The 27,811-nt window shown below is 56.5% G+C and overlaps 2 protein-coding genes across 4 annotated transcripts in view, besides 1 other annotated feature; both read left to right on the forward strand.

The window, feature by feature from the left end:
- ZNF664-RFLNA (ZNF664-RFLNA readthrough) overlaps nucleotides 1-26,861 on the forward strand; it is a 342,810-nt gene extending 315,949 nt beyond the window's left edge. For both annotated transcript variants that reach the window (NM_001204299.3, NM_001347902.2), the window contains exons 4-5: nucleotides 22,655-22,764; nucleotides 25,029-26,861. In NM_001204299.3, the coding sequence (NP_001191228.1) occupies nucleotides 22,691-22,764; nucleotides 25,029-25,362 (408 nt within the window). In that variant the 5' untranslated portion in view covers nucleotides 22,655-22,690 and the 3' untranslated portion in view covers nucleotides 25,363-26,861. The remainder of the gene's footprint in view (nucleotides 1-22,654; nucleotides 22,765-25,028) is intronic.
- On the forward strand, nucleotides 1-26,861 carry RFLNA (refilin A). Of its 2 annotated transcripts, none has more exons than NM_181709.5 (3): nucleotides 1-207; nucleotides 22,655-22,764; nucleotides 25,029-26,861. In NM_181709.5, the coding sequence occupies exons 2-3, from the start codon at nucleotides 22,691-22,693 to the stop codon at nucleotides 25,360-25,362; spliced, it is 408 nt and encodes a 135-aa protein (NP_859060.3). In that variant the 5' UTR covers nucleotides 1-207; nucleotides 22,655-22,690; the 3' UTR covers nucleotides 25,363-26,861. The 2 variants fall into 2 exon arrangements, with proteins under 2 accessions (NP_859060.3, NP_001352085.1); NM_001365156.1 differs by lacking the exon at nucleotides 1-207 and adding an exon at nucleotides 5,930-6,473.
- Nucleotides 13,210-13,711: an enhancer, noted in NCBI's record as "H3K4me1 hESC enhancer chr12:124786919-124787420 (GRCh37/hg19 assembly coordinates)". NCBI's record gives its function as "activates a minimal SCP1, AML or CMV promoter by ChIP-STARR-seq in naive H9 embryonic stem cells {active_cell/tissue: H9 hESC(naive)}" and the evidence as "EXISTENCE:reporter gene assay evidence [ECO:0000049][PMID:30033119]".
- Nucleotides 26,862-27,811: the final 950 nt, after the last annotated feature.

The following is a 27,811-nucleotide window of genomic DNA, read 5'->3' on the forward strand; positions in this document are numbered from 1 at the left end:
ACACTCAGTCTCTGATTTTATCCCTGCCCTGGCTTAATTAAGTGCTCTGAAGACATAAATAGGTTTTTTGTTTACTCAAGCTTGGGAGAAGCTGGCAGAAAAGGCCTTTTCAGCTAAAAGCTCCTTACAGCCGGAAGGTGTGAAGCGGCAAGTTTCCAGCCGGGAAGAAGCCTCTCAGCCGTAGGCGTCTTTGCCCGGAGCTGTGAGGTGAGTCCAGCAGCCCCACTGTGGAGTGGGAACGGGAGGGGCTGCGGGAAAGCCAAGCCAGGACGCTGGGTGGCAGACCGTTAGAACAGCTTTCATTACTCACTGAAAGCACTGGGAATCTGGAGGCTGTCCTGGACACGCACATACAAATGGCAGCAGAACGTATGCCCAGGTCAAAGGCACTTTGAATTCATTTTGTCCCCGCTTCCCTGTCTTAGTAGGGCAGGTGGTCAAGAGCTGGTTTTATGAGTGGACACCCAGGGCATGGGCCCTGACCCCCAGACAGCTGCCCAGCAAAGGCGGGCTGCAGGCTCCGAGAGGACACGGGCTAAAAATGAAGAGGTGAGTCACTGCTGGAGCTCTGTCCAGGCGTGGACATCTGTGGTACAGCTGGGGACTGAGCAAGGGCACTGCGGAAAAGTCCCTCGGGTGAGACAGGCCACCGGGGAACATGCGACTCCCCGGGGCAGGGAGGCATCCCTGGGCCAGGCACTAGGACCTGGCCTGCTGAGGATGCAGAGTCCCAGGTCTCACGGTTGTACAGTCACCGGGACCTTCACTCTGAAACATTTGACCACATGCCCGGCTGGACAGCTCAGACAGGGCCTGTAAGGAGCGTGTGATCAAGAAGCCACTCTTCTTGCCTCTGTTCTCGCCGCCCCTTTGAACTCCTCCACTTCAACTTCTTCTGTGGCTACTTTCAAACCCTCAGGGATGTTCAGTGTTACTTCTGCATTCCCTAAAAATAGGCAAGAGCCCGGGGCTCTCCCTAGGAAAGACAAAGATTTCGCTGACACCGCAGTTCTCTCGTCTTTTCTTCTTCTCAAAAGTGTATATGCATATGTGTGTGTGTATGTGTGTAGATGTGTAGACATGCGTGTATACGTGTGTGGGTACATGTGTGTATATGTATGTATGTGCATGTGTTAGTGTGTATATTTGTGTGTCCATGTATGTGCATTTGCATATGTGTGTGCATATGTGTATGTGTGTATTTGTGTGTTTGTGTATATGTGTGCATATGTGTTTACCTGTGTATATGTAGGTACATGTGTGTATGTGCATACATGTGTATGTGTATATATGTATTTGTGTTATGTGTGTGCTTGTGTGTACACATGTGTATTGTGTATGCATCTGTGTGTATGTGTGTATATTTGTGTTTATGTGTATATACATGTTTATGTGTGTACATGTATATGTGTGTGCATATGTGTGCTTGTGTGTATGTGCATATGTGTTTATGTGCATGCATAAGTGTGTGTGTGTCTAAATGTATTGATTATCTTGGTGATTTCACACAGAGAGGCATGAGGTGTGGTGATGAGAGCAGGGCCCAGCTGAGCCTGCGAAAATTTCCCTGGCACCATGCTGAGGCTTGTGCCTGGCGTGCCTGGAAGCATACCCCTAATATGCTTATATTTAATCTTCATTCACTACCTTTATTATCATCCCTGCTTTATGGATGGGGACACTGAGGCACAGAAAGGGCAGGCCAATTGCCCAGATCACACAGCCGGGACATGGTAGGGCCAGGGTTCAAACCCAGGCAGCCGAGCGTGCACATGGCAAGGAGACCCCTTCCTTGTCTGTAAGCCTCCTTGGAAGGCGAGCGGCCTCCAATGCGCTCAGATGGCCTTGTTTCAGGGCTCTCTCTGCAGGTCACAGAAAAGCCTTGCAGTTGTCAGGCATGACGACCTCAGTCCTCCTGCCTCCATGTCACGGTCCACTGGGACCCACTGACAGCCTTCCCCCACATCCACCCTAGCAGCCTCCAGTTTGGCTTTCTACTTAGGATAGGCTGTGTGACCTCAGGCAGTCACTTAACCTCTCTGAGTCTCCATGGCTCCATCTGCTTTATTTATTTATGATTTATCTTTTATTTTATTAATTTATTTTTTTGAGTTGGAGTCTCACTCTATTGCCCAGGCTGGAGTGCAGTGGCATGATCTTGGCTCACTGCAGCCTCTGCCTCCCAGGTTCAAGGGATTCTCCTGCCTCAGCCTCCTGTGTAGCTGGGATTACAGGTGTGCACCACCACACCTGGCTAATTTTTAAGTATTTTTAGTAGAGACGGGGTTTCACCATGTTGGTCAGGCTGGTCTCAAACTCCTGACCTCAGTTGATCCACGCACCTTGGCCTCCCAAAGTGCTGGGATTACAGGCATGAGCCACCGTTCCTGGCCTGCTTTATTTCAAAATGGAAATAATATGCAGCCAGGGTTCAAGTGCACGATGGTGCGTGTGCAGAGCTCTGTAAGCTGCCCAGGAATGCGCAGCCCTACTTCTAGGAGCCTTCCTTCAATGCTGCTTGGAACAAGTGGCAAATGGCTCTCCGTGAAAAAGCCTTTTTTTTTTTCCTCAACACCCTTCCCTCTGGCCTTCCTCGCAGAGTTGAGCTTCCCCCACACAAAGCATTCTGGGAAAATCCCCCTGATATGGGGAGTGCTTGGGGAGCCCTGGGCTGGGGCTTGGGGTTACCCCAGGTCACTTTTCTTTCTTCCCCAACATGTGCTCTGAAAAGCCAGTGACTTCAGAAGCTTGTGGAGGAAGGTCTTCCTTCCCAGGGGTGTATGGTGCATACATATGCATACACCCTTCTCCCCTTCTCTCCAACACGGGACCCGCTCTTTACGACCCCTTGTCAGGGATACCCCAATACCTCTTTTCTATTAAATATCTACTTTCTCTGCCCAATTTTTCTCTGCCTCCAAACTCTCCTTTCTTTCATCCAACTTTGTTTATGTGCATATGTGTGTATATGTGAGGAACTTTGGAAGCGATTTGGATCAGATCATTCTTTACCTGCTTCAAAACCTCTGCAGATTCTCCCATCCCTGGCAGATAAAGCCCCAATCCCTTAGCACAGCATAAGGGCCTCCGTAGACCTAGTACCTTCTTCCCTCTGCCCTTCCTACAGCGCTGGGCCTGGAGCAGACACCCCGATCTTGAAAGACCCCCTTTTCTGCTCCTCAGGCCTCACATTTCAAGTCCCTTTTCCTTCTGAGACTGGCCACAAGAGCCTCCTGCCCTGCCCACTGGCTAGCCCCTGGCTCAGATGAATTTATGGAAATTTCGTCTTTTCCTCCCCTCTTTGACATTTGCAGACCATCTGGTGCTGTGAGAAATAGAAGCTTCCACAGTACCGGCTTTCAATTGAGGGGCGGTCCCCAGCCCACAGCAGCGGATCTGAATAGGTCAGAGGTCATGGTCACTGGGGCCATCAGTGTGGGCTGCTCTCTGGGGCTTTGACCTTTGTAGTGCACTCATGTTCTGCCTGCTGTCTGGTGTGCACATATCTCTGACGGTTATCCACACAGGGCAGCCTGTTTCAGGGGAAACTTCCAGAACCCAGGTGGGCATAGTCATGAAGGCACTCTTGATAAGCGGGCTTCTAGATCAAGATGAATGGCACAAGGGGGCCAGGATTAGTAGAGTGGGGCAAGGGACTTTCAGGACATCGCCCAAACACAGAAATCACCACAAATGGTATTTCGCTGCAATGTTTTAAAAGTCAAAATGGATGCAAACAGTTCAAGATGAACAAAACATCAACATTTTATCTTATTTTGAGACAGAGTCTTGCTCTGTTGCCCAGGCTGGAGTGCAGTGGCATGACCTCAGCTCACTGCAACCTCCACCTCCTGAGTTCAAGCAATTCTCCTGCCTCAGCCTCCTGAGTAGTTGGGATTACAGGCGCCCGCCACCACGCCCGGCTAATTTTTTTGTTATTTTTAGTAGAGACAGAATTTCACCATGTTGGCCAGGCTGGTCTTAAACTCCTGACCTCAGGGGATCCACCCGCCTCAGCTTCCCAAAGTGCTGGGATTACAGGCGTGAGCCACCGCACCAGGCCTCAAAATATCAACATTTCAAATAAAGACAGAGGAACCCTGCAATTCTGAGACTCCACCTTGCCCGCATCCTGCCCTGCCCTGGGTAGCTATTGTGGCCAAGGGGTCATTAGTCCCTGAGATAAGAAGAAATTAGTTCTTGCCGAAGACTTTCTCCAGGGAAGCAGAAGACTACTGGGTCTGGGTGGGTGAGCATTTGGGAAATGTGAATTTCCATGTGTCTGTGTTCCAGAAAGAATGCCCCCTCCCCCCACCGCTTTCGTCCTAGTCAGTGACAGTAGTTCAGCCAGTCATTCTGGTCAAGTGGCCCAAGGGCTGAAGAGGGCCTGGCTTGCCTAAGAATTGAAGCAAATGGAATCCGTAGTCCCATTGTTTTTTTCCCAGAATGTTCCAAATATTCAAACCTCTGGTTAGTTGGGTCTGTTTGGGCAGCAGACTTCCAGCGTTCTTTCCTGGGCGACATGGAAATGGGCTGTAAATTCACCTGGTGACAGGTGCATGCCTGTCACCCTGTGGGCTCTCAGGAAGCGGCCCCACCCTCTGTCAGTGTCCGGCATGCACCTTACTCCTGCTGCTGCAGGGCCTGCGCCCTGCTGTTCCCTCCACATGGTGCGCTAATTCTCACTGCTTGGCTATTCAGATCTTATCTTTGAAAATCGCCTCCTCCAAGAAGCCTTCCCTGAACACTCCAAAGCCTTAAGTTGTCCCTTTGACTATTCTTGGTTGCAGCACCTCATTAAGTTCCTTCCCTTAGACTCACAGCCTTAGCTTCCTGGTGCATTGACAGGCTCCCTCATCAGACTGGGCCCTCCACAGGGCAGGGGCCTGCTGTCTTACGCCTGCCCGTTCTGAGGTCCGGCCAAGGCTGGGTGCGGAATGGGAGCCTGAGAACATCTTCAAAGTGCTGCCCTCAGTTTGGGGGTGTCCAAAGAGCGGATTCTGACACCCGGCTTCCCGCCCCTGATCTTGGGCTTTCTGCTGTAAGCTGAATGGAAGTGAGTGTGTCTGGGCACACTTTCACCCCTCCTGGAGTCTACCTCTGTTCTCTTCGCCCTATTAGCCTCTCCCACATTCCTGCTTTTCAAAGCAGTCCGTGGACACCCCCAGCTGCCCCGCTTGCAGAATGGAAGGATGGATCCTCAGGAGTGGGGTGGGGGGCGTCTGTGTGGCTGGGCGCTGGAAATGCAGACATCCTTTGCCAGGCATCTGATAAGAAAACAGTAAGGAAGGGAAACACGTGTTCTTCTCTCTTGGGAGGAAGGAAAAGAAGGGAAAGACCGGCAGGACCCTTGTTCATGAGCGAGGACCTGCCTGGAAAAAATGCAGGAACAGCCAGATGCCGGGGGATTCCCGGAAGTGCTGCTCATCGCCCCCGCCGCCCCCACCCACAGGTTCCACCCAATGCTTTCCACCCTTAAGGCCCAAAGAGCTGGCCCTGGGTGTGCGGGTAACCGAGACGCCAGTACTAGGGCTGTGGTGGCCCTCCTCCCCATCGATTGTAAGTTACAGAGAAAAAGAAAACTCTAAAATAAAGTTTCTCAAGCTGCTTTTATTGGGACTTCAAATGAGATGGAGAAAACCTCCAAGAGCACCACGAAATAGGATGATGATGATTACTCGTATGTCTTGGGATGACTTGGGGACCCCACAAGGCACCCTCGGTGCGCCAGTGTGGTGCTTGTTCCGGGAGTGGGGGACACACGCGCCTCGTGGGACTCCAGCTGCTGGCTGGGCGCGCAGTGCCCAGGAGCGGGAGGGCCTCGGCGGAGGCGCCGGGCCGGGGCTGTTGCCCACCGCGCAGGCCGGGGCGGGGAGAGGAAGGGGGAGGAGGAGGCGCCTAGAAAAGGAGGCGCGGGCCGGGGAGGTGCGGAGAGGGCCGGGCGGCAACGTGCGCCTCGGGGCTGGGCCGGCCTGCGGGATCGCAGCGCAGCGCAGAGGCGAGGCTGGGCCCGGCGGGCGGGAGCCGCGGAGGGCGGAGGGCGGAGGGCGGCGGCGCTGGCAGGAGCGCGGCCCACGGCGGCGAGCAGGCTGCAGGCCCGCGGGGATCCGGGGCGCGGGGGGCGCCGGGCCTGATCGCCGCCTCTCGCGGTGCCCGCAGGTCCCCGGGCGCGCAGCTCTCGCCCCGCCGCCGCCTGCCCCGGGCCCCGGAGCGCGGTGGAGAAGCCCCCGGAGGAGCGGGGGGCCCGCGCCCCGCGCCCCCCAGACATGGTGGGCCACCTGCATCTGCAGGGCATGGAGGACAGCCTGAAGGAGCAGGGCCGGGAGGGCTTGCTGGACAGCCCCGACTCCGGGCTGCCCCCCAGCCCCAGCCCCAGCCCGCCCTTCTACTCCCTGGCGCCCGGCATCCTCGACGCGCGCGCGGGGGGCGCCGGCGCCTCCTCGGAGCCCCCGGGACCCAGCGAGGCCAGAGCGGTAAGGAGGCGCTCTCTCTCCCAAACGGGGGACCGCGTGGGCGGGTGGGTGAGGGCTGCCCCCAGAGACGCGCGCCACTGCAGCAGCAGGACGTGCCTCCTCCTCTACCTGCCCCGCAACCACGAAGGTGGCCAGTGACAGCCACGCTTCTCAGGTGGGGACCAGGGTGTGTAGGGGGAGGTGATCCAGGCTGACCCCGGACCTGGAGACGGCTCCCTGGCGGTGGGCCTCCCTCCAGAGTGATTCTTCCTATTGTCAGTAATAATGGGGGGCTCATGGGGCGGGGTAAAGGACGGTCCGAAATTCCCAAAGAAGTTGGCTGTTGGCTAGGTGGGCTTGCGCCCAGAGGCCCAGCATGTTGCAGACATCTGGACCCGGCCCCTCTGCTGCTCCGGGTGCCCTGTTTACTGTCCGGGCGCTGCCAATGTGAAAGCCTTTTCTTTCTTTCTTTCTTTCTTTCTTTCTTTCTTTCTTTCTTTCTTTCTTTCTCTCTCTCTCTCTCTTCTTCTCTTCTCTTCTCTTCTCTTCTCTTCTCTTCTCTTCTCTTCTTTTCTTTTCTTTTCTTTTTTTTAAATAACCAAACCCAGACAGGATTCCTTCCTTCCCGGGATGTTAAGGCATGTTGACGTGGAGCTTAGGCGGGAGGGGGAGGCTGGAACCTCGGGTCAGGAAACTCAGGAGTTTGTCTCCTGCCAGACTAAGTCCAGCCTGGGGGTGGACTCCGGTGGGGACCCAGCTTGGCGCCTTGCCTGAGACTGGGCACCCCCCGGCAGGCGGGGAAGCATATGGGCCGAGCGGGCGCCTTTGCAGCCTGAGGAAATGACAAGTTGAAATGAGTGATTGCCCATCCCTGCCCGCTCTCTGGCTGCGCCCTGCCCACCTTAACAGCTTTACTGCTGGGGCGTGTGTGCTGGCTCCACTCCCCTTTCCTGGGGCCCCGGGGATTCTTGCCTGGCACTCACAGGGCAAAAAAGGCCTCCCCGCCGCTGAAAATCCTCCTCCCCACAGCGGAAAGGAGCGGCTCCCCGGCCTCAAGCCTCAGGATATGACCTTCATTCGTGCCTTGCTTGTTTCTTAGCCTGGTGGGTCCCAAACTTGGTCGCCCATTGGAATCACTTGGAGAATCTTTAAAACCCACCCACACTCACCGCCCAGATAGTCTCACTGAATTGATAGGGGGTGCAGCTCGGCATCAGGAGGGTTTCAGTCTCCCTGGGTGATTGTACTGTTCAGCAAAGTCTGGGAGTCACTATCTTAGACCAAATCATGCAGCAAATTTGAACTTTGGTCTCTTTATGGGAGCCTGGCGGGTGGAAGGGGCAGTGAGGACTTCCAGGAGTTGATAGAGGTGACCAGGGCTGTTTGAAGTGAACCTGATCTTGCTGTCTAAAGGGGGCCAGCTTTCCTGCCAGAGCCTCTGGGACTTGGCACTGTCGCCCATTTGAGCTGCACACTTTGGGACTGAATCCCCGTGGTGCCTTGCACAGTGGGGCTTGGAGAAAAACGACCTGGAATCCGCCTTCTCCTTGGTTCCTTCCATGACCCAGAAGCCTCCTTACAGAGGGTTTTCTGGAAGCGTTCTCTGCCATCCGGGCCAGCCCGTGGCTGCCGCAAGAATAGCATGGCTGGCTTACTTGTCTTGGCTCTTCTACTTGACTTTATTTTTTCCCCTTCCTGCTCACTAGATGCCAGGTATGAAACTGTGTTGCCCTGATCTTCTAATTTGGCTTAAAAGCAAAGCCCGGGGCTGTTTCCTCATGGGTTATGATACTTGGCATTTAGATAGCTCATACCGTGTGCCAGGATAACTGTCCTAAGCTCTTTATTTACACCAATTCATTTAATTTTCACTATATTCCCATGAAGCCTACACTCCAATTAGCCCCATTTTCCAGAGGCGGAAGCCAAGGCACAGAGGAGGTTAGCAACCTGCCCAAAGTTGCCCAGCCAGGAAGCGGCTGTGCTGGGCTAGACCCAGAGAGTCTGACTGCAGAGTCTGCCCTTCAACCTCATATTATCCCCCTTTTCACTGTGCAGCTAATTAACTACCTGTGATTTTTTTTTTATTGGAAAACAAAATGCCTGTGTACCTACCAGGTTTGAAGGGCTGCTTTCAATAAAAGGGAGAAAGGATTGCCTGGCGCCCACTCTTCTCAGCTTTGGGGCTTGCCGCTGTGGCCATGCCCACCCACCCATCGCCCACCCCACAGGGCGCCCCACCTCCCCGTTAACTCCCGCTAAACTTTGCTGAGCGGTGTTTAACCGCACCCTGCTCACTGACGACTCAGGGAGAGTGCTTTTTAGGTGCAAATATCGGCACCCCATACTGTCTCAGGACAAAGAGGCGGAAACCTGTGCTGCGCCTCGCGGCTGAGGGTTTCCAACACCCGAGGAAGAGGATGGGGTGAGCGGTGCCGGGTTTCCATGTGGGCCTCAGGTTCAGACCGCGTTTGGCAGGGTGGGTGTCTTTGTTCCACTATCCAGTGAACGACACCACCTTTCTGATAAAAGTTGGTGGCATATGCCTCAGCTGCTGGGATGGACTGCAGTCCCGCCCTCAAATCTAAGCCACTGAGGTCCTCACCACCTTGTCACCTACTTTAGGAGGCTGGACGGACGTGCATGTTAAACCTGCCTACGCTTCACTTCATTAAAGAGGCCCCCCCACTTTGTTTGAATAAGCTGGACTTGCCTCCTGGACGCCCCCCACCCACTAAGGCAGGGTATCTGGGAAGCGGCTGGCTGTAAGATCACTCCCCAAGACATCAAAGGCCCTGGGGGCCAGGCTGGATATGAATGAACCCCCTCCCCACTCACCATGGGCTTTTTGTGCTCACTCTTGGAGCAAAGGTGGGAACATTCCCGATCACTCCCAGGCCAGACGAAGAGCTGGGAATCAGGCATTGGTCCCCCCAGTACTTACTGAGCACCTACTGTGTGTCACGCTCTGTTTGGGGCCATGGAGGACACAGCAGTGAACAAGATGCTGACGGTCCCTGCCCTCATGAACTGGCATCCTAGCGGAAGAGACACAGCCACCAGCTGAACTATGTGTGGCAGCAGCAGGTGGATGGAGAAGTGTCCTTAAGGCCAGAAGCTGGGTGAGAGGTGAGCTTTAGGCAGGTAGACAGGGAGGTGGTGGTTAATAGAAACCCACACACACTCAGGGTACGAACTTTACAGTTCTAGGGCTGAGATGTGCTCAGTCCGAGACAATGGCATGTGCAAAGGTCCTGAGGCACAAGCAAGCTAGGCATGGCCTGTTCGGGTGATGGGTGCACAAAAATCTCAGAAATCACCACTAAAGAACTTATGCATGTAACCAAATGCCTTGAGGAGCCACAAAGAGGCAGGGACCACCGGAGGGCCGGGAGAGGCCAGGTCAGTGACTTCTAGGTGAAGCTGAGGCCAAAAGTTAAAATTCCATTTGGTCTTTTAAAAACTACTTGTGACTGTTCTATTTTTATTTTTAAAAAGCCATCATGAGCTTCCATTCCACACTCCCCAAATTAGAAACTCAAATGAGAGACTTGAGTGAGGAGGGTGCCCGTGCGGGACGCAGAATGTGGCCATTTTGCATCAGTGTAGGGCGTGTCTCCATGCGGGCAGGGACCTGTCTCCTGCATGGCCCAGGACAGCAGAGCCTGCCCACTGGGCCTGGTGGCAGAGGAGATTGTCTGTCAGCTGCATTCAGCCCACAGTTTTTTTAAATTTATTTTTTAATGTTTTCTTTCCATAGGTTTTGGGGGAACAGGTGGTATTTGGTGACATGAGTCAATTCTTTAGTGGCGATTTGTGGGATTTTGGTGCACCCACCACCCAAGCAGTACACACTGAACCCAATTTGTCATCTCTTATCCCTCACCCTCTTCCCACCCTTTCCCCTGAGTCCCCAAAGTCCATTGTGTCATTCTTATGCCTTTGCATCCTCATAGCTGAGCTCCCACTTATAAATGAGAAATACAGTGTTTGGTTTTCCATTCCTGAGTTACTTCACTTAGAATAATGGTCTCCAATTCCATCCAGGTTGCTTCAAATGCCATGATTTCATTCCTTTTTATGGCTGAGTAGCATTCCATGGCGTATATATATACCACAGTTTCTTTATCCACTCTGATTGATGGGCATTTGTCAGCTCACAGATATTTAAAGCGGGGTGGGTGAGTAACACAGCTGCTGCCTCTGCTGCCTTTGAGCTCCCAGGGCCTGGACTGTCACTGCAGATTGAGCAAACACCCATTGCTCTTCTCCTCCTCCCCGCCCTGCCCGGCAGAGCTGTGGGCATTTAGGGGTTGGCATCGTGGAGGAATGAGGATGGCTTTGAGGCAGATCTATCTCCCTAAGTGAATATGGGCAGTTCGGAGAAGTAGCCCTGTGCCATCTTACTGCACTCAGGGAGGCTGAAAGTGGCATTTGGGATCTTACATTGTGTTCTCTGGGGTTCATGTTCAAATGAACAGCCCCCCTGTGGCAAGCAAAGGACTCAGCCTGTTATGGGGCAATGGCAGGTGGTGACAGATCTGAGCTGTTGCTGCCTCCCAGATGCAGAGACGGGGCCTCTGGCCCTGGACTGCACCCACAGCTGGTGGCCTGGGCTCTGTCACCTTCAGGGCTCCTTCCCTCCATCCAGCCTCCCTCAGTCTTGTTTATGCAGTGGGTGGATTTCTGAAGAGTGTACGTGAGAGCTTCCCTAAGGAAGACGTGCTGGATCCCTGGACCCACATTGCAAGAGAAGCCATCCCTAAGAACTCCCCTGGGGGCCCAGCTCTTGGAGGCCGCCTGAGGTCTCAGCCATCCCTTTGGACCTTGGCTGGGACCCTTGGGACTCTTGGATTTTCTCATTTCTGCTTCTTGTCTGTGATGGTGAAACTGAGTATGAGAGAGGAGAGGGAAGGGAGCTAGGGAGGTAGTGCTGGGGTTGGGAAGGATGGATGGATGGATGGATGGATAGATAGATGGATGGATGGATGGATGGACAGAAGAATGGGTGGATGGATGGATGGATGGATGGATCGATGGGCAAATAGATAGAAGGATGGATCGATGGGCAAATAGATAGAAGGATGGATGGATGGGCAGAAGGGTGGATGGATGCATGGATGGATGGATGGATGGATGGATGGATGGATGGATGGATTGACGGATGGATGGATGGATGGATGGATGGATGGATGGATGGACAGAAGAATGGGTGGATGGATGGATGGACAGAAGAATGGGTGGATGGATGGATGGATGAATAGATGGGCAAATAGAAGGATGGATGGATGGGCAGAAGGGTGGATGGATGGATGGATGGATGGATGGAAGGATGGATGGATTGATGGATGGATAGATGGATGGATGGAGGATGAATGGATGAACAGATGGCTGAACAGATGGACTCAGGAAAACAGGGATCGGTCCCCATGGCCCCCTGGCAGGCTTACAGGTGTGTTCCTGTGAAGGTGTCTGAGCAAGCTAAGGTGGAAGACAGCCAGGTATGTCAGGACAAGGTGGGAGGGAGAAGCCTGTTTGCAGAAAGGGAGGCTGTGAGGAGGGAGAGGAGGGAAAGCCAGAAGCCCTGCGCCTCCTTCCAGCCGCGTCTGCTCGATCCCGGGTGAACTGGCCTCCAGTGGAAATTCAGCAAAGTGTCTGACAGCCCCGGTCTCCGGGGCAGGCTTACCCAGCTGAGAAACTCAGCTATATCTGCAGCTTTAGTGTGAAAAGAAGACAAATAGGCTCACGGCCTTCCAGGTGCTCTGGAAACAAGGGAGCCACCTGCATGGGGAAAATGCTGCCAGACAGACTGGGGGCAGCTTTCCCGGAGACAGCTTTCCTGGGGGCAGGTGTGGTCTGTCCTGTCTGCCCTCCAGTGCTCGGCCTCCCTGCGGGGCACGGTACATGGACTGTGGACACTCCTGGTGTGCCATCTGTATCTTAGGATGCACAGGAATCCAGAGGGGATATTTGTCCACCTTGCAGCAAATCCGGCCTTTATAAGGGCAGGGTCTGGGTTCGCCATTTTTTTGTGTACAGAGATGGGTGTCCCCTATCTGGGAGGCCGCCTGGCAGTTGTGAGTGGTTGAGAAAGGACAGTGTTCTGAGTGTCTGGGGGGAAGTGGGAGACCCTGCCCCAAGCCCCGCAGCCTGTGCAAAGTGATTCTTGTGCCCTAGGTTGACGGCCCCCACTCTGTTATTGGCTGGCAGAGCTGTGGGTCCCTGCACTCACTTCCCAGAGCTGCCGTGACAAAGTGCCACAGACTGGGTGGCTTAACACAGAAGAAATTCATCCTCTCAGAGTTCCGGAGGCCAAGAAGTCTGAAATCGAGCTGACGGCGGGGGCACGCTCCTCTGGAGGCTGTAAGGGGGTCCGTCCCACCTGCCTCTCCTAGCTGCTGGCCGCATCACGCCAGTCTCTGCCTCTGTCTTTATGTGGCCTTGTCTCTGTGTGTGTCCCCATGTCCAGATTTCCCTCTTCTTAGAAAGACACCAGTCCTTGGATCAGGGTCCACCCTAATCTAATCTGACCTCATCTTAACTTGATCACATGTGCAAAGACCCTCTTTCCAAATAAGGTGACAGTTGCAGGTACCAGGGTTTAGGACTTGAACTTATCTTTGTGGGGGACACAAGGCAGGCCACACCCATCTTGCTGACTTGGGTGCACCAGGCCTGCCCATCTCAGGAGGGAGCCCAGCTGGAGCACTGCCTCCGAGCTGCGACGTTCGAGTTTGTTCACCGTTTCTCTGCCTTGGGTGTCAGATCCTGGGCTCGTGGGTTCCTTGCTGGGCCCTTGATAGTTCATGGCTCTCCATATGGCCTGACCCACTCGGGGTCTCCTGGGATCCCCCCCAAGCAGACTGTGTCCTTTCGATAATCACATTCAGGTGCCCCATAGTGCCACGTTGGGGGAGATCGAGAAAGACCCACCCCTGCCCCGGCCCCCTGCCCCAGGATTCGCCAATAGCCAAGGCTGTCATCAGAAGGGTGGGAATTCTTGGTGCTTAAATGCCCCTCCTTGGTTCATCTTCCCCATGGGTGATGGTCAAGATTAACCTTAGCCCAGCCCGTGCGCTTTGGTCTCAGATTCCCAGTGTATATCCCAGACGATCAAGTTCTGACAGCAGCAGGGGTTCTCACCGCCAGGGAGGTCAGGGGCCGAGGTCAGGGGGCCGAGGTCAGGGGCTGAGGTCAGGGGCCGAGGTCAGGGGCCGAGGTCAGAGGGCCGAGGTCAGGGGCCGAGGTCAGGGGCCGAGGTCAGGGGTAGCTGTTGCAAGGCTCCATGTGGCTTTCATAAGGACGCCTCTCCCGCGGCCCGTGTGGGGCTCCCTGGCTATCCTGCTGTCTCCAGGAGCAGCAACGGGGGAGGGGGGGCTCTGGGTACCTCCTCCTGCCTCCCACTCCTGCACTGATGGGCCGCTAGTTGGCTCCTGGGTGAAAGCTCATGGTTCAGCGAACTGCGCCATAGTATCTGTGGATGGCGCTGTGTCGCCCAGGCTGTGCCTCCCTGTGAGTCCCTGCCCAGCCGGGCCCAGACTCCAGGTCTGGCAGGCTGTCACTGTGAGGCACTGAGCTCTCGACAACAGAGCGGCTATCTTTCCTCGCCGGCCTGTGGGCTATGGCCTGTGCAGCAGCCAGGAAGGTGGGGAGCTCCGAGGAGCCCCTGTGTACTTTGACTTCCAGCCAGCGAGTGTTCATCCCCACCCCAGCGGCTCCCGGGGAAGGCTCCTGGGTGAAGCGGGTGGGGCCTGGTGGGCCCTTGGCGAGTGTCCACAGGACCCAACACCCTCCAGGGCCCGTCCTGCCCCCCACACTGTCCTGCTGCCCAGAAGCCTGGGAGTAAGCCCAGCCTCCCCAGGCCACAGCAGGCTTGCCCCAGACCCTGGAAGGAGCTGGGAACCTGGGCCTGGGCCATCCCTGTTTTCCTAAGCTGGGAGGGAAGCATGGCATCTGGGTGACCCTCCTGTGTGCCCGAGAAGCACTTGTTCTCCCCTGTCCCAACATCCCAGAGCTTCCAGGCGGATGCTGAGCCCCCCAGGAAACCACCAGCCTGTGTCTTGGGCATCCCTGATGGTCCCCCAGCCCCAGGATGTGGGCCTTGCCGATGGCACAGCCTCGTTTCACAGATGAGCAAACCGAGGGCAGACGAGGGCATCTCACCGGATTCTGTCTAGACCAGAACAGGAGCCCGGGCCTGTGGGAGGGCGCTGCAGCCTCACAGACCGGCTGGGGGTGGGGGTGGGGAGCGGGCCTGTCTGGGGGCTTCCCGTGCCCAAGGTGGCCGCATGGCCAGGGCAGGTGAGCAATGACAGGTCCCCGTGTGCATGTGCCTGACCCCTTCCCTGGCCCTCCCCTGCCTTGCCAGCCCCCGTGGGACTGTGTGTGACCCAGTCTTCGGCAGTATCTCGCTCCCGCGTGGCTGGAAAGTCGGACTTCAGGGCCGCAGTCTGCCTTCTTGGCCGCGAGAGGCACTTCCCTTGCCCACTCCCCAGGCTGGCTGGAGTCCACAGGGCGCCACGACCGTTTCGATGTTCGAATAGCCCTGCAGCCAGAAAGACGAAGCTGCGAGCCTCAGGATGAACTGGTGGCTGCCACCATCTTCCCTTGGTGTCCAGCCCTGCAGCTCCGCGGGAGTGTCCTGGGCCTTGGCGGGGACTTCCCGAGCCGTCTCACCGCCCAGGCCCACGGGACGCCAGCCTATATCGGTCTGGGCTTTCACGGCTTCTGGTGTCTCCTGCCCAGCGCTTCCAGCTTGGGTGGACTTTAGGTGTTTTTTCAGCGGGACCCTTTGGCAAATGGTGCCCGGAGCTCTGGCTTCCCGGGCCAGCCTGTGAATTAGGCCTTGTCTGCTGCTGGCAGCCAGGTGGGGAGCGGGACCGGGCGGAAAGGGGCTGCCTTTGTCGGCGCCCACGTTCCAGGTGTGGTGGTATCCGGAGGGTTTGGCAGTGTCTTCATTCCGGGTTGACCCAAGAGAGATGCCGGGGCGGGGGCTCTGCCACAGCACAAAGGCTTTGCCTCTGAAATAAGCCCTCCCTGCTCGATGGGTGAGGAGTTAGCCTTTCCTGGCAGCGCGTGGGTGGGTAACGGCAGCAGCAGGCTGCCTCTCTCTCCCTCCAGCCCTTCCACTTGTCTGGACAGAAGAAACACCTCCCCAAACCTTAGTGCTCATGTTTATGTCCCCTTCCACACTGGTGTCGTCCTCTCTCCTCCCCTGTGGCTACATGTCACCCCCTCTTGCGGGAGAAGGGCCCTGGGGGTTCCTGTGCCTCATCTCACTCCCACAGGGCCCAGCACACAGTAGGTGCTCAGCAAACAAACACCTGCACGCACTTGGGAAAATGCCGAGCTTCAGATAACATCTTTTGGGGAGTGTGTATTATTTCTAAAAACATGGAATCATATAGAGTCTTGCAGCTGGGGTCAGTGTTGACTGAACGGTGAGCCATAGAAGATGAGGATGGGCCTGTCTTGTCACTGCCTTGTTTTTGTGAAGTGATTGTTCTGAAATGATGCTTGCTTGCTTCTGAAAGTAAGAAGTGTTGTTTTAGGTTAGAAGGGTGTGAGCTATACCTCTGTCCAGGGAGGTACCTCCACCCCAGACCTTCATGGGAAAGGAGGATCCCCCTTGCGGGCCCACTGGCACCCAGTGCCACCCCTGGGTTGGGCGCTGTTCCATGTGGCTGCTGGCTCTGACTCAGCTGTGCCGAAGCCTGGGAGGCGGGTCCTCCTAACGGCCCACTTCAGAGACGTGGAGGCTGTGGTGGCCCAGAGACGGGAAGTCATTGGCCCAAGTCACACAGCTTAGCAGTCTCCTTGGCTGCTGCAGCCAATTACCAAACACAGAGTGGCTTCAAACGGCACGAATTTGTTATCATCTTCCAGCTCTGGAGGTCAGGAGTCCCAGAATGATAAGCGTCAGCAGGACTGGTTCCTTCTGGAGGCTCAGAAAGAGTCCATTCCTGTGCCTGTTCTGGCTCCTAGAGGGGCCCGTGCTCCTTGGCTTGTGGCCCCTTCCTCCTCATCAAAGCCGGCAGTGCAGCATCTTCTGGCCGTTCTCTGACTCTGACCCCCTGGAAAGCTGTGATGACATCAGGCCCACCTGGATGACCCAGGACCATATCCCATCTCAGAATTCTTAATCACATCTGCAAAGTCCCTTTTGCAGATATTCCCAGGTCCTGGGGGTTAGGGTGTGGACAGCTTTGGGGGCTGTTGTTCAGCATGCCACACCCAGGAAGGGAGCAGCTGCCTCTCTTTTGGGCCACTCACTCCGTGTCAATGCCAGGGAGAGATGGGGCCACCTCGAGGCCAGCTGCTGGGGGCTTTGAAGAATCTCCTGCTTCTTCAGTCCTCGATCCTCTCCCTGTGGTCCTCAGCCCTTGTTCTGGGGTGACCGTGACTAGCAGGGATGGGGCTCCTGGTGATGTTTGTCCACAGACTGCTGCCAAACTTGAGGACAGGTATGGGCCCATACTCGGGGCTCTCTGGGTTGGGGCAGGGGCTGCTTTGCAGGTGTGGGGTCTCCCCTCCCCATAGTGCAGGGGCGGAGAGGTGCCAGGTCCTGGGCTTAGAGGTGATAAGGACTCCAGCCTTAGGGAGCTGCTTCTCTGGGGGTGACAGACACGCAAAGGGGTTATCGCGATGAAGGCCAGTAGATGGGTGCTCCCGTGTCCCCACAGAGGATGCCCCTAAGACTTGGAGAGGACACTGAGTTGGCTCTCACCAGCCCAAGCGAGAAGCAGCCAGTGCAGCAGGGAACAGCGGGAACACCGAGGCAGCCTCGGGTCACAGACAAGGGGCCGAGACAGGAACAGGCAGAGGCCCGAGTGGGAATCCTTGAGCCTGTGTCGGGGGAGCCTGGAGCTGAGGGGGCAGCGATGAGACAGGCCCCTGGGCATGAAAGGCAGTGGAGGAGCGAGGGTGAGGGCCCGGGACCTGGAGCCGCACCAGCAGCGTTCCAGCCCTGACCTGCCTCTTCCAGCTGTGTGGCCTTGGGCAAATGACTTAGCCACTCTGGGCCTCGGTTTCCACATGTGGAAAATGGGGGTGCTGCCAGCAGCTGCGTGCTGGGGTTTTTTATAAGGATCAGATGAGTAGGATATGTGGCGAGTGCCCAGAATGGTGCCCGGCACAGTGAGAGTGCAAAAAGCTCTGCATCCTCATTGTCCAGGCAGGTATGGGGGCGGCGGGGAGGGGACAGATGTAGGAGATATCAAGCTAGGTCCCTGCAGGACTTGGCTCTGAGTTCACAGTTCCCGCCCAGCCCGATGTCCACCCTCCACTCCCTCTGCCCGAGGCCGGTGTGCATGTGGTCACCATGGTTATAGGCTTGGCCCTCTGCGGCCCAGGCACGAGCACCAGTCTGGAGGAATAGGGTCCCCACCACCTGCTGTCCCCCGTGGGAGCCAGCTATCCCCTCTTCAGCCAAGAACAAAGCACTGAGCATCACCACGCACTAGACGCTGGGGTGTAAGGGATGCAGACCGTGCCTCCCCATCCGCGGGGGCATCGTGATCTGGGTAGGGCCAGAGAGCAGGGAGAGGGCCGCAAACCTAGAAATAAATGCGTAAGCAAAACCTGCTAAGTGCCGTGTCCCAGTGACGGGGTCAGGGAGGTGTCATGGCCGCTGCGCACGGTGCCCCACTGCCTCAGTCTCCAGTGGCCGTGAACCCTGGCTGCCCACTGCTGGCAGCTGTCCCCTTTCCTAGAGAGCTGTCCTTTGGGGGAAAGGGAGCTTCTTCCCCCAGGAGGTGACTCCCACCCCCAGGAGTGGGGCAGCCAGTGACCAGCAGCCTGCTCTCCCAGCTGGGACCAGTGCTGAGGCAGTCACACTCCTGCGCCCCTGGTGTGATGGGGCCAGGCTGGTCACAGCTGTGCCGTCGCCTTGCCTGGCTGACACCTGCTTAGCCCCTCTCTCCCATTCCCCTGGAAGGACTCCCCTCATAAACTGGTTTCACAAGATTTCCCATCCCGAGTCCCTGATCAAGATGGGAGGAGGCCAGGCTGGGGACCCACGGGTGGTCTCAGCCAGCCCCGGTGCCTTCACGGAGGGCTGGGCGGCGCAGGCCCCAGGGTTCGGGCTTGTCGACTTTTAGCATGTGGTTCTCTTGTGTGATCTTCCTAGAGCCACTGTAAAAAAAACTGCCACAAACTGGGTGGCCTGAGGAAACAGAACTCTATTCTCGCACAGTTCCGGAGGCCAGAGTTCCAATCGAGGTGTGAGCAGGGCCACACTGCCTCAGAGGGCTCCAGGGGAGGCTCCTTCCTGCCTCTCTGGCTTCTGGTGGCTCCAGGTGCTCCTTGGCTTGTGGTTGTGCCCCTGCCATCCCTGCCTCCACATCGTCCCTGTGCGTCTGTGTCCGCTCTTTTTTTTTTTTTTTTGAGACAGAGTCCCGCTCTGTTGCCCAGGCTGGAGTACAGTGGCGCGATCTCGGCTCACTGCAACCTCTGCCTCCTGGGTTTGAGCGATCCTCCTGCCTCAGCGTCCCTAGTAGCTGGGACTACAGGCGTGCACCACCATACCTGGCTAATTTTTGTATTTTTAGTAGAGACAGGGTTTCACCAGGTTGTCCAGGCTAGTCTTAAACTCCTGACCTCAGGTGATCCACCCACCTCGGCCTCCCAAAGTGCTAGGATTACAGGCGTCAGCCACTGCCTCCGGCCTGTGTCCACGCTTCTTGTAGGGACACCAGTCATTGGCTTTAGGGCCCACCCTCCTCTGAGATGGCCTCATCTCAGGAGCCTCAATTCCATCTGCAAAGGCTCTATTCCAAATAAGATCCTGTCCACAGGGTCTGCGTGGACATGGGCTTTGGGGGGGGACCCTGTTCTACCCACACTGCCCTTGTCCTTGGAAAGCCACCTCTGGCCGTGTTTTTGGTGTCCATGCGTTGACCCTCGCTGCTTCTCTCCAGGACTTCTGGGTCCATCTCATCTTGGCCACACTGGGCCATGCCCCACCTCCCAGGGAGAGGGTCTGCAGGTTTCAGACCAGACTGTGACCTCCCTTGGGTTCCTGCCTCCACCCCAGGTACCTCCATCTCTCCCCATTTTCACACAGGCAGACAGAGCCAGGGGCAAACCCGGGACCTGCCCAGCCAGCAGCCTGAGTGGCTCTGGGAGGAGCAGAGCCATTGATGGGGACGTCTTGAGGCCTCTTCTCTGAGGGCCTCTGCACACAGCAGGCAGTGGTCATTTGGGGCTGGGGCCGGCCCGCCGGCTGGAACCTCACCCACAGCCTGCGTCCCCCTAGGGTGGCCTGTGCAGGGTGCTTGCTGTGACAGTGAGCGTGTTCTGGATCTACCCCGGCCAGTGCGACAGCTGCCAGCGCGTGGCGGGTGCGACTGAGGAATGGCGTTTTTCAACCTACTGAATCGTAATGAATTTAAGTTGAATAGCCCCGTGCGGCTAGTGGCCCCTGTATTAGAAGCCCTAGAACAGGGTCCCAGGGCATGGCCTGCATGCCAGGGGGAGGCAGGGCTGAGGGCGTGCGGGTGTCCTGGGTGCTGTTTGTGGCTGTGTGGCCCTGGGGCCCAGTGGGGGCACTCCAGGACCTGTGGGCCCTGGGGCCACAGTGGACTCTGCTTCCCCCCCACCGATCACATCCCGAGTGGCACTGCACAGGGAAGCACTCCCTGATTACCTGGTGGTCAAACCCTTCTCGTGCCCTCATTGCCCTGTCGACCACAGCCCTCCTGACAGTTGGAATCTTAGTCCACTGGTGGGACACTGGTGGGAGCAGTGGGGGATTCAGGCAGCAAGCTGCGACGAGGCCAGGAGAGCCTCTGTTTGCCACCATGGCAGCAGTACAGAGCGCAGTGCCGGCACACAGTGGCGCGCAGTGGGTGAGCTGAACGAAAGGCGTTCTGCTGTGGCCGCGAGCATCTCTTCGCATCTGCACTCATGCTTTCTCCAAAGCTGTGCTATTCATACGCTCTGGGTCTATTATTCATAACCTCAGTGATGAACAAGCTATCTGAAAAATAGGCGGGTTATTTAAAGCCCCGCCCTTCACCTCCCTGAGCCCTTGGAGCGGGCACGTGTAGTTCCAGCAGAGGCCCTAGGGAGTGGCCTTGCCAGGCCCCCTGCTATCCCAGCACAGGCTAGTCAGGCAGGAGGATGCCTCATAACATCCCCAATCTCAATGGCATCAAAGAGCAAGGGCTTCTTTCTGGCTCTCACCATGTGTTCCCAACGGGTTGGCGGTGACTTGAGTGTTGCAGCCACACCTCAAGGAGAACATCTAGGGCTGCCTTAAAAGGCTTTAGGGGCCAGGCGTGGTGGCTCACGCCTGCAGTTCCAGCTCTTTGAGAGGCCAGGGTAGGAGGATCACTTGAGCCCAGGAATTTGCGATCAGCCTGGGCAACATAGTGAGATCCTGTCTCTGCAAAAATTGTTTTTTAAATTGGCTGGGGCATGGTGGCATGCACCTGTAGTGCCAGCTATGTGGGAGGCTGGGGTGGAAGGATTGCTTGAACCCAGAAGTTCGAGGCTGCAGTGAGCCATGATTGCACTACCGTACTCTAGCCTGGGTGACAGAGAGAGACTCTGTCTCAAAAAAAAAAAAAAAAAAAAAAAAGCCTTTAGAAACAGAGCCTCCTGGCCCTGCCCTGAGTGAAATCTCTACTTCAAGATGCTCACTTTGCTGGGCTGGCCCTGAAGGACCCCCGAGTACAGATGGACGGGGTTTTCTTGGGTTGGTGGAAGAGGGGAAAGGCCTGTGAGGCTGAGTCTGGCGGGGAACACTTCCGGAGGGAAGAGTGGGGTAGGGGGAGGGCAGAAGTGTCACCATGTTGGCATGAGGAGAGGCTGCAGGGGCCAGAGGTCTGTTTTCAGCATCAGTTTGGGGCTGAATCAGCAATGGGCTGAGCTGTGGGGAGGGGGAGGTGGACTGCAGGGAGGGGGAGGTGGACTGCAGGATGGGGTAGGGGTCCTTAGGCCACTTTCTGTTGAGGAGCAGGATGGGGTGGGGGTCCTTAGGCCACTTTCTGTGAGGAGCAGGATGGGGTGGGGGTCCTTAGGCCACTTCCTGTGAGGAGCACCGGGCAGGGGCATGCCCCTGATGGTCTTTGCTTCCACAGGGAGTGGAATTTTGGGACAGACTTTAAAACAGACCAGAGAAAGAACTTCCCAGCGTGGAGCTGTGGGGTGGATTTGGGAGGGGAACAGAGAGTGCTTTCTTTGTGTCTGTCTGATGGGGCTCTTTCTGAAGGGGCTGTGGATGGCTTCTGTTCCCATAGAACTCTCTTTCCCCACCTTGCCAAGATTCTTCCAGCTGCAAGTGACAGAAAGGCAGCTCAAATGGTCTGAAGCCTCAAAATGGATTTGCTGGTGCTCACAACTGAGGGACAGTTTCAGGTGTGGCTCGATCCAGGCATTTGAACAATGTTGGAAAGACTTGATCTTTCACATCTTTGACTCCTGCTCTCCTCAGCATAGCTCCATTTCCACTGGTTTCCAACCCCCCTACATTCTTAGCCCTCACGGTGGGGGCTGTCTCCACAGCTCTGGAGGAGAACCTGGGTAGGGCTCTCATTGGCCCAGTGTGGGTTACACGCCCATGTCCAATCCAGTCCTTGTCCTCAGGGAGATGTGGTGCCATTTCTAGAAGATGTGGATGCTGGGTAGGCCCTCCCTGCCCTCCTGCAGACATCTGCTATTCTGATCAGCTTCCTGTGCCCCTCGACAGGCCTGGCCAGCTCCCACCTGTGTGTTCCTCCCTGGCAGGTGTGCCACAGACACAGGTGTGGTGGGGTCTCTACCCCTCTGGAGGCTGCCTGAGCCTTGGGTGGTACCAAGAAGGGCTGGGAACCCTTCCTCCAGGCCGAGTGTGGTTTCAGCCCTGCAAAGAGCACAGAGGGATCCCAGTTCTCCAGGGCTCTGAGCCGGGCTCCGGGGTGGGTGTGGCCTTGAGGTTGCAGTGAGAGGCCATGACCACACCCCTTGTTGAGAACTGGGAGCTGGAGGACAGGCTGGTGGTGGAGAGCTGGGCAGATCCCTGAATGCCTGGATCCCATGGAGGGCGTCTGGGGTGGGCTTCCTGATGGGCCCCACAAAGCGGCTTCCTGATGGGCCCCACCAAGCAGCTTCCAGACCAAGCCAGGGCCAGAGGGTGTCAGGTGGTCCTGTGTGCCCAGCAGGGAGCTGAGGCCACTGCAACAAGGGGCTGCATAACCCCGTGTCCCTGGCTCTCCCCACAGCCCCCCTCCCAACTCCCAAATCCCCCGGCGTCGGAGATGAGGCCCCGGATGCTGCCAGTGTTCTTTGGGGAGAGCATCAAGGTGAACCCGGAACCCACGCATGAGATCCGGTGAGTGGGCCACTGGGCTCTGCGCGGGAGGAGGGGGTGGGGGGTTGGGTGCTGGTCCTGACTCTCTTGTGGGATGGGGGTGGGGACTAGGCCAAGCTGGGGGCTCAGGAGGCTCCCTACCCTCCAGGCAGCCCCTCTGGGTGCTGCTTCCTGGGGAGTTTGGCCGTATCTTAGCCACAGACAAAACTGATTTTAAGAGACTCTGACCCCAAGGGACCCTCTGTATCCACCCCACGCCCCCACCCCAGGTCTATTCAGCCGTTTCCCATTTCCCCATTTACCTTCTCCTCCAAAAGGCTTTTATTTTAAATCCAACCTCTCAGAAAAAATGGAAAATTATGAACATAACCACTTGTGCACCCTAACTCTACCTCCCTTCTCCTGCCAGATTTTTTTTTTTTTTGATGGGATCTCACTGTGTCACCCAGGCTGAAGTGCAGTGGTGGGATCATGGCTCACTGCAGCCTCAACCTCCTGGGCTTAAGCAATCCTCCTACCTCAGCCTCCCGAGTAGCTGAGACTGCAGGTGTGCGCCCCCATGGCCAGCTAATTTTTGTATTTTTTGTAGAGATGGGGTCTCACTATGTTGCCCAGACTGGTCTCCAGCTCCTGGGCTCAAGTGATCCTCCTGCCTCAGCCTCCTAGAATGCTGGGATGACAGGTGTGAGTCACCATGCCCAGCCCCTGACAGATTGTTAGGTATTCACAACCAAACCATTCAGGCAACTCAGGACCGCCTTCCACTCTGTTGTCCAAGCATTAGGGGACAGTTGTCCAGCTGCTCCATGTTCTTTGTGACTGTAACTTAGGTTCTTGAGGCCACCCATGAGCTACTGCACTGTAAGTGTATTGGGTGCCCTCCCATGCATATGACGCATATGACATCTTAGGTGGCATCCGAATTGAATTAAGGCACCCCTGCTTGGGAACATCCCACATCGATTTGCCCTCCTCTGAAGCTGCTGGGGCTCAGGCTTCCCAAGGATGGAGTGTGGGATCCGTGAGTCTTACCCACATATCTATGGGGCTCTCTCCATCCACTCGTCCCTGTTGAGTGGGGCCAGCCAAGTGTCTGAGACCCACTGCCTGCTGCCCCTGCCAGCCAGGCAATGGTCCCAGGAGACAAACGAGTCCACTTCTAAATTATTTTTCAATCCCCAAACAGCCTTCATTGTCTAGTTTTTAAAATGCAAGCCAAAATTAGATCATCAGAAGCCCAGCAAGGGTGGAGGATGGATGCCTTGACCCTCGGGACCTCTGATCCCTTCACAAGTCTTCTGTGATCACCTCTGGGGGTTCAGTGGGGAATGAGATGGGGAGGATTCTCTCCTTCCCAGAGCTTCCAGTCTGATTTCCTAAAGCTCTGGACGTGGAACTGGGGGATACTAGTCGGTCACTCCTCCAAGGGTGTTGAAGGGACTTCTTGGAAAACGTATTTTGATATAATTTCAAACTTTTTAAAAGGTTGCGGCTGGGCGTGGTGGCTCATGCCTGTAATCCCAGCACTTTGGGAGGCCGAGGCGGGCGGATCACGAGGTCAGGAGATCGAGACCATCCTGGCTAACACGGTGAAACTCCGTCTCTACTAAAAATTACAAAAAATTAGCCAGGCATGGTGGCGGGCGCCTGTAGTCCCAGCTACTCGGGAGGCTGAGGCAAGAGAATGGCGTGAACCTGGGAGGCGGAGCTTGCAGAGAGCCGAGATCGCGCCACTGCACTCCAGCCTGGGTGACAGAGCGAGACTCCGTCTCAAAAAAAAAAAAAAAGGTTGCATGTGCCTCTCAAACAGATTCACTGGTTGTTTATATCTTGCCCTATTTGAGAGGAGATTGGTGACATCCTGCCCTTTAGCCCCCAGATACTTCAGTGTGTCTCTTAAGAACAGGGACATCCTCTTCCATGACAGCAGCATAGTTGTCAACGTCAGGGAAGTGCACACGGTGACGCCAGCACCTAACCCACACGACACGGCTCAGTTTCACCCATCGTCCCGATAAGGTCCTTTCCTGGCTTACTTTTCTCCCCAGTTCAGGATCCAGTCAGGGTCCTTCATTGCGTTTAGCTGTCTCGCCTCTTTAGTCTCTGTGAAGCCAAGACAGTCCCTCAGTCCTTCTTTGACCTTCTTGACCTTGACATTTCAGAGCAGCCCACACCCGTTAGGCTTCAGAGCATCTGCCCAGGGCCCTTTCGTGTCCATGCTGAGGGCAGGGAATCGGGCTGCCCCCAATCCTGGGTTCACTCCGCTTCCCTCCTGCCCTTTCCAGCTGCAACTCTGAGGTCAAGTACGCCTCGGAGAAGCATTTCCAGGACAAGGTCTTCTATGCGCCCGTACCCACCGTCACGGCCTACAGCGAGACCATCGTGGCAGCACCCAACTGCACGTGGCGCAACTACCGCAGCCAGCTGACCCTGGAGCCACGCCCGCGCGCCCTGCGCTTCCGCAGCACCACCATCATCTTCCCCAAGCATGCCAGGAGCACTTTCCGGACCACCCTGCACTGCAGCCTGGGCCGGCCCAGCCGCTGGTTCACCGCCAGCGTGCAGCTGCAGCTTTGCCAGGACCCTGCCCCCAGCCTCCTGGGCCCTGCCACGCTCTGACGGGGCTGGGGCCGGCCCGGGGTGCTGGAGGAGCCGGGAGCCCTGGGGAGAAGCCGGGAGGATGGACACGATGAGCTCGGCCTGGCACTCGGGCAGGAGGCGGGAAGGGAGGCTGCCAGACCAAGGACCCGTGTGGAAGGAGGCGGCTCCCCGCTGCCTGCCCTGACCTACAGGCTAGGTGGTGGTCTCCTTGTTTTGGTGTCAAGGACTCAGTAAAAGCATCTATTTTTTTAGCACTTAAGCTGGCAAGGCGGTAGGGGCATGCACTGTTAGGTGGTGGCCACCCCCAGGGTCAGGGGAAAAGAATGGGTCCATGGAGTGCCCTTGAAGCAGAGAACAGCCCCGAGCAGTGTGAGGACAGAGGCATCCCAGCCTCAGCCGGTGGGGACGGCTGCCACTCCCCCAGAGCCCTGCCACCCCATGTGTCCTAGGCTGGTGGCCAAGGCCATGTGTGAGGGAAGAGGGGTACCTCTCTTCCCTGCTGCTGGCCTGGGGTATTTCCAAAACAGCCTTTTCGCACACATGCAGGTTGCACCGAGAGGTCTGGAGCTGTGGCTGAGCCACCTCTGGCGGATGTTGAGCCAGGAGGTTGGGCAAAGGCCGGATGCTGATGCCAGCGCTGGAGGTGGTGATACTGGGGGCGGGGAAGGCCTAGAAATACTTTGAGCCATGGCCTTGCCAGTGTCCCGTGCCCTCCAGTGTCAAAGATTTGGGGCACTGCCCGTCGAAATGGAAAGGTTGGTGCTCAGCCTCTGGAGCCTCACCTGCAGGGCGTCCCCAGCTAACACCCATCCACGCACCACCTCCAGGACGAGAACCCTTGATGTCAAAACCAAGTGCCCAGTGGAGGCGGTGAAGCTCTCGGAAATGCTGCCACCTGTGTGAGGCCGGGTCTGAACTCGAGGGAGTCGGAGCTCAGCTGTCGGTTTAAAGAGACACTGAGGGGACCGGGCTGCCGCCCTCAGCCTGCATTCCTGTGCGCAATCGATTCCGCAATGACAGCACCTTACTCCTTCCTGCGGCAGGCTCACCCCTGCCTGTGGGATGTTGTGAGAGGAACATGAGCCAGACAAAGACTTGGCTCAGGGCTCCGTGGAACAAGCCAGGATGCACGGGGAGCTGGGGGAGCCCCCAGCCTGGGGCAGCCCAGCAGGCCGCTGAACAAACACCCCAGAAGCCAGCACTGTGGCAGGGTGCTGGGGAGATGCCCCTCTGAGCCTTCCTCCCCCCTCAGACCTGAATGCACTCCACAGTTGGGGGCTGCCCCTGCCACTCCCCTGGTAATGCATAAAAGGGGAGGGGAAGGTTCCCTGGGGCTTGAGCTCCCTCTGTGGAGGTGAGGAGGGGAGATTCCGTTCACATCCAGGAGGGGCAAAATGACTGATGTATTTTTATGTATCTACACAGAGAGTGCATTTTCTCTCCAGAGATGCTGTCTGGTTAACAAAGGAATAACTTAAGAAATTGATTGATTATCTTAATAAACTGTGCAAACCCAACGGGACTTCCTTTTCTGTCTGTGAGACCTTCAGCTCCCGCTGGGGTTGGGGAAGGGGAAGATGGGTCTCCAGGCCCCTTTTCCTGTGTGGCCATCACTTTTTTTCCACTCGGAGCTTGTGCCCTAAGGAGCTGGCCTTGGCCCTGATCAAAGGAACAAAGAAGGACTCAGCCCCCACCCCTGTAGACAGCCTAAGCGTACACCACCTCCACACGCCAGCTCCACCCAAGAGCTAATTAATAAATGCAGAGGCCTGGGACCTACCTGGGGACTCAGATCTGGGGGGCAGCTCCTTGGATGGGCCCGGGCATCTGCACTTTGGATGGCGTGCATATCTGCAGCTCCATATCCTGGTCGTCAGCTCTGGCAAGCCCCTCAACCCACAGCATCCCTGGAGAAGGGCCCTGGCTGCCACTGCGGAGCAGGCGGCTGGGACGCACCTTACAATCTGTTTCTCTCCATCTCGCCCTTGGAGAGGCCCATGGGGCTCCATGGAGATAGTGAGTGTGTTAAAGGGAACACTCGGCAGCCAGGGGACAGTGAGTCAGACTGGAAAATCAGACTAGAATTTGCTCCCAGGCTCTGGAGTTGGTGGGGGCAGGGGATAAGGGAGTGTCCCCAGAGGCTGCTGGGGACAGGTCTTCCGAGGGGATGTGTCACAAGAGTGCCATGGTCAGGACTGGTGGTAGCCTCTTGAGGTCCACACCCTGGTCTGGCAGTGGTTAAGCTAACACTAGTGGGAATGCTATGCGTGCTAATTCAGAGCACTCATTGGATTTCAGGCTCTGTAGGAAACATTGCATATGAAAACTTGCATGCCATCCCTACCCGCTGACATGGATGCAACCGCATCTCCACTTCACAGAGGAGAAAGTAAGGCACAGAGAGGTTAAGTCATTTGCCCACACTGGTAGGATGCAGCTGGTAGGAGGCAGAGACAGGATCTGAACC

Source organism: Homo sapiens, chromosome 12, assembly GCF_000001405.40.
Source record: "Homo sapiens chromosome 12, GRCh38.p14 Primary Assembly".
NCBI lineage: Eukaryota > Metazoa > Chordata > Mammalia > Primates > Hominidae > Homo > Homo sapiens.

What these genes read in the sequence shown, in the direction of transcription:
- RFLNA (NM_001365156.1), top strand. Translation starts at nt 6,267, where the DNA reads ATGGTGGGCCACCTGCATCTGCAGGGCATGGAGGACAGCCTGAAGGAG. An exon ending in GACCCAGCGAGGCCAGAGCG is followed by an intron (nt 6,474 to 22,654) that starts GTAAGGAGGCGC and finishes CTCTCCCCACAG; the next exon opens with CCCCCCTCCCAACTCCCAAA. An exon ending in GAACCCACGCATGAGATCCG is followed by an intron (nt 22,765 to 25,028) that starts GTGAGTGGGCCA and finishes TGCCCTTTCCAG; the next exon opens with CTGCAACTCTGAGGTCAAGT.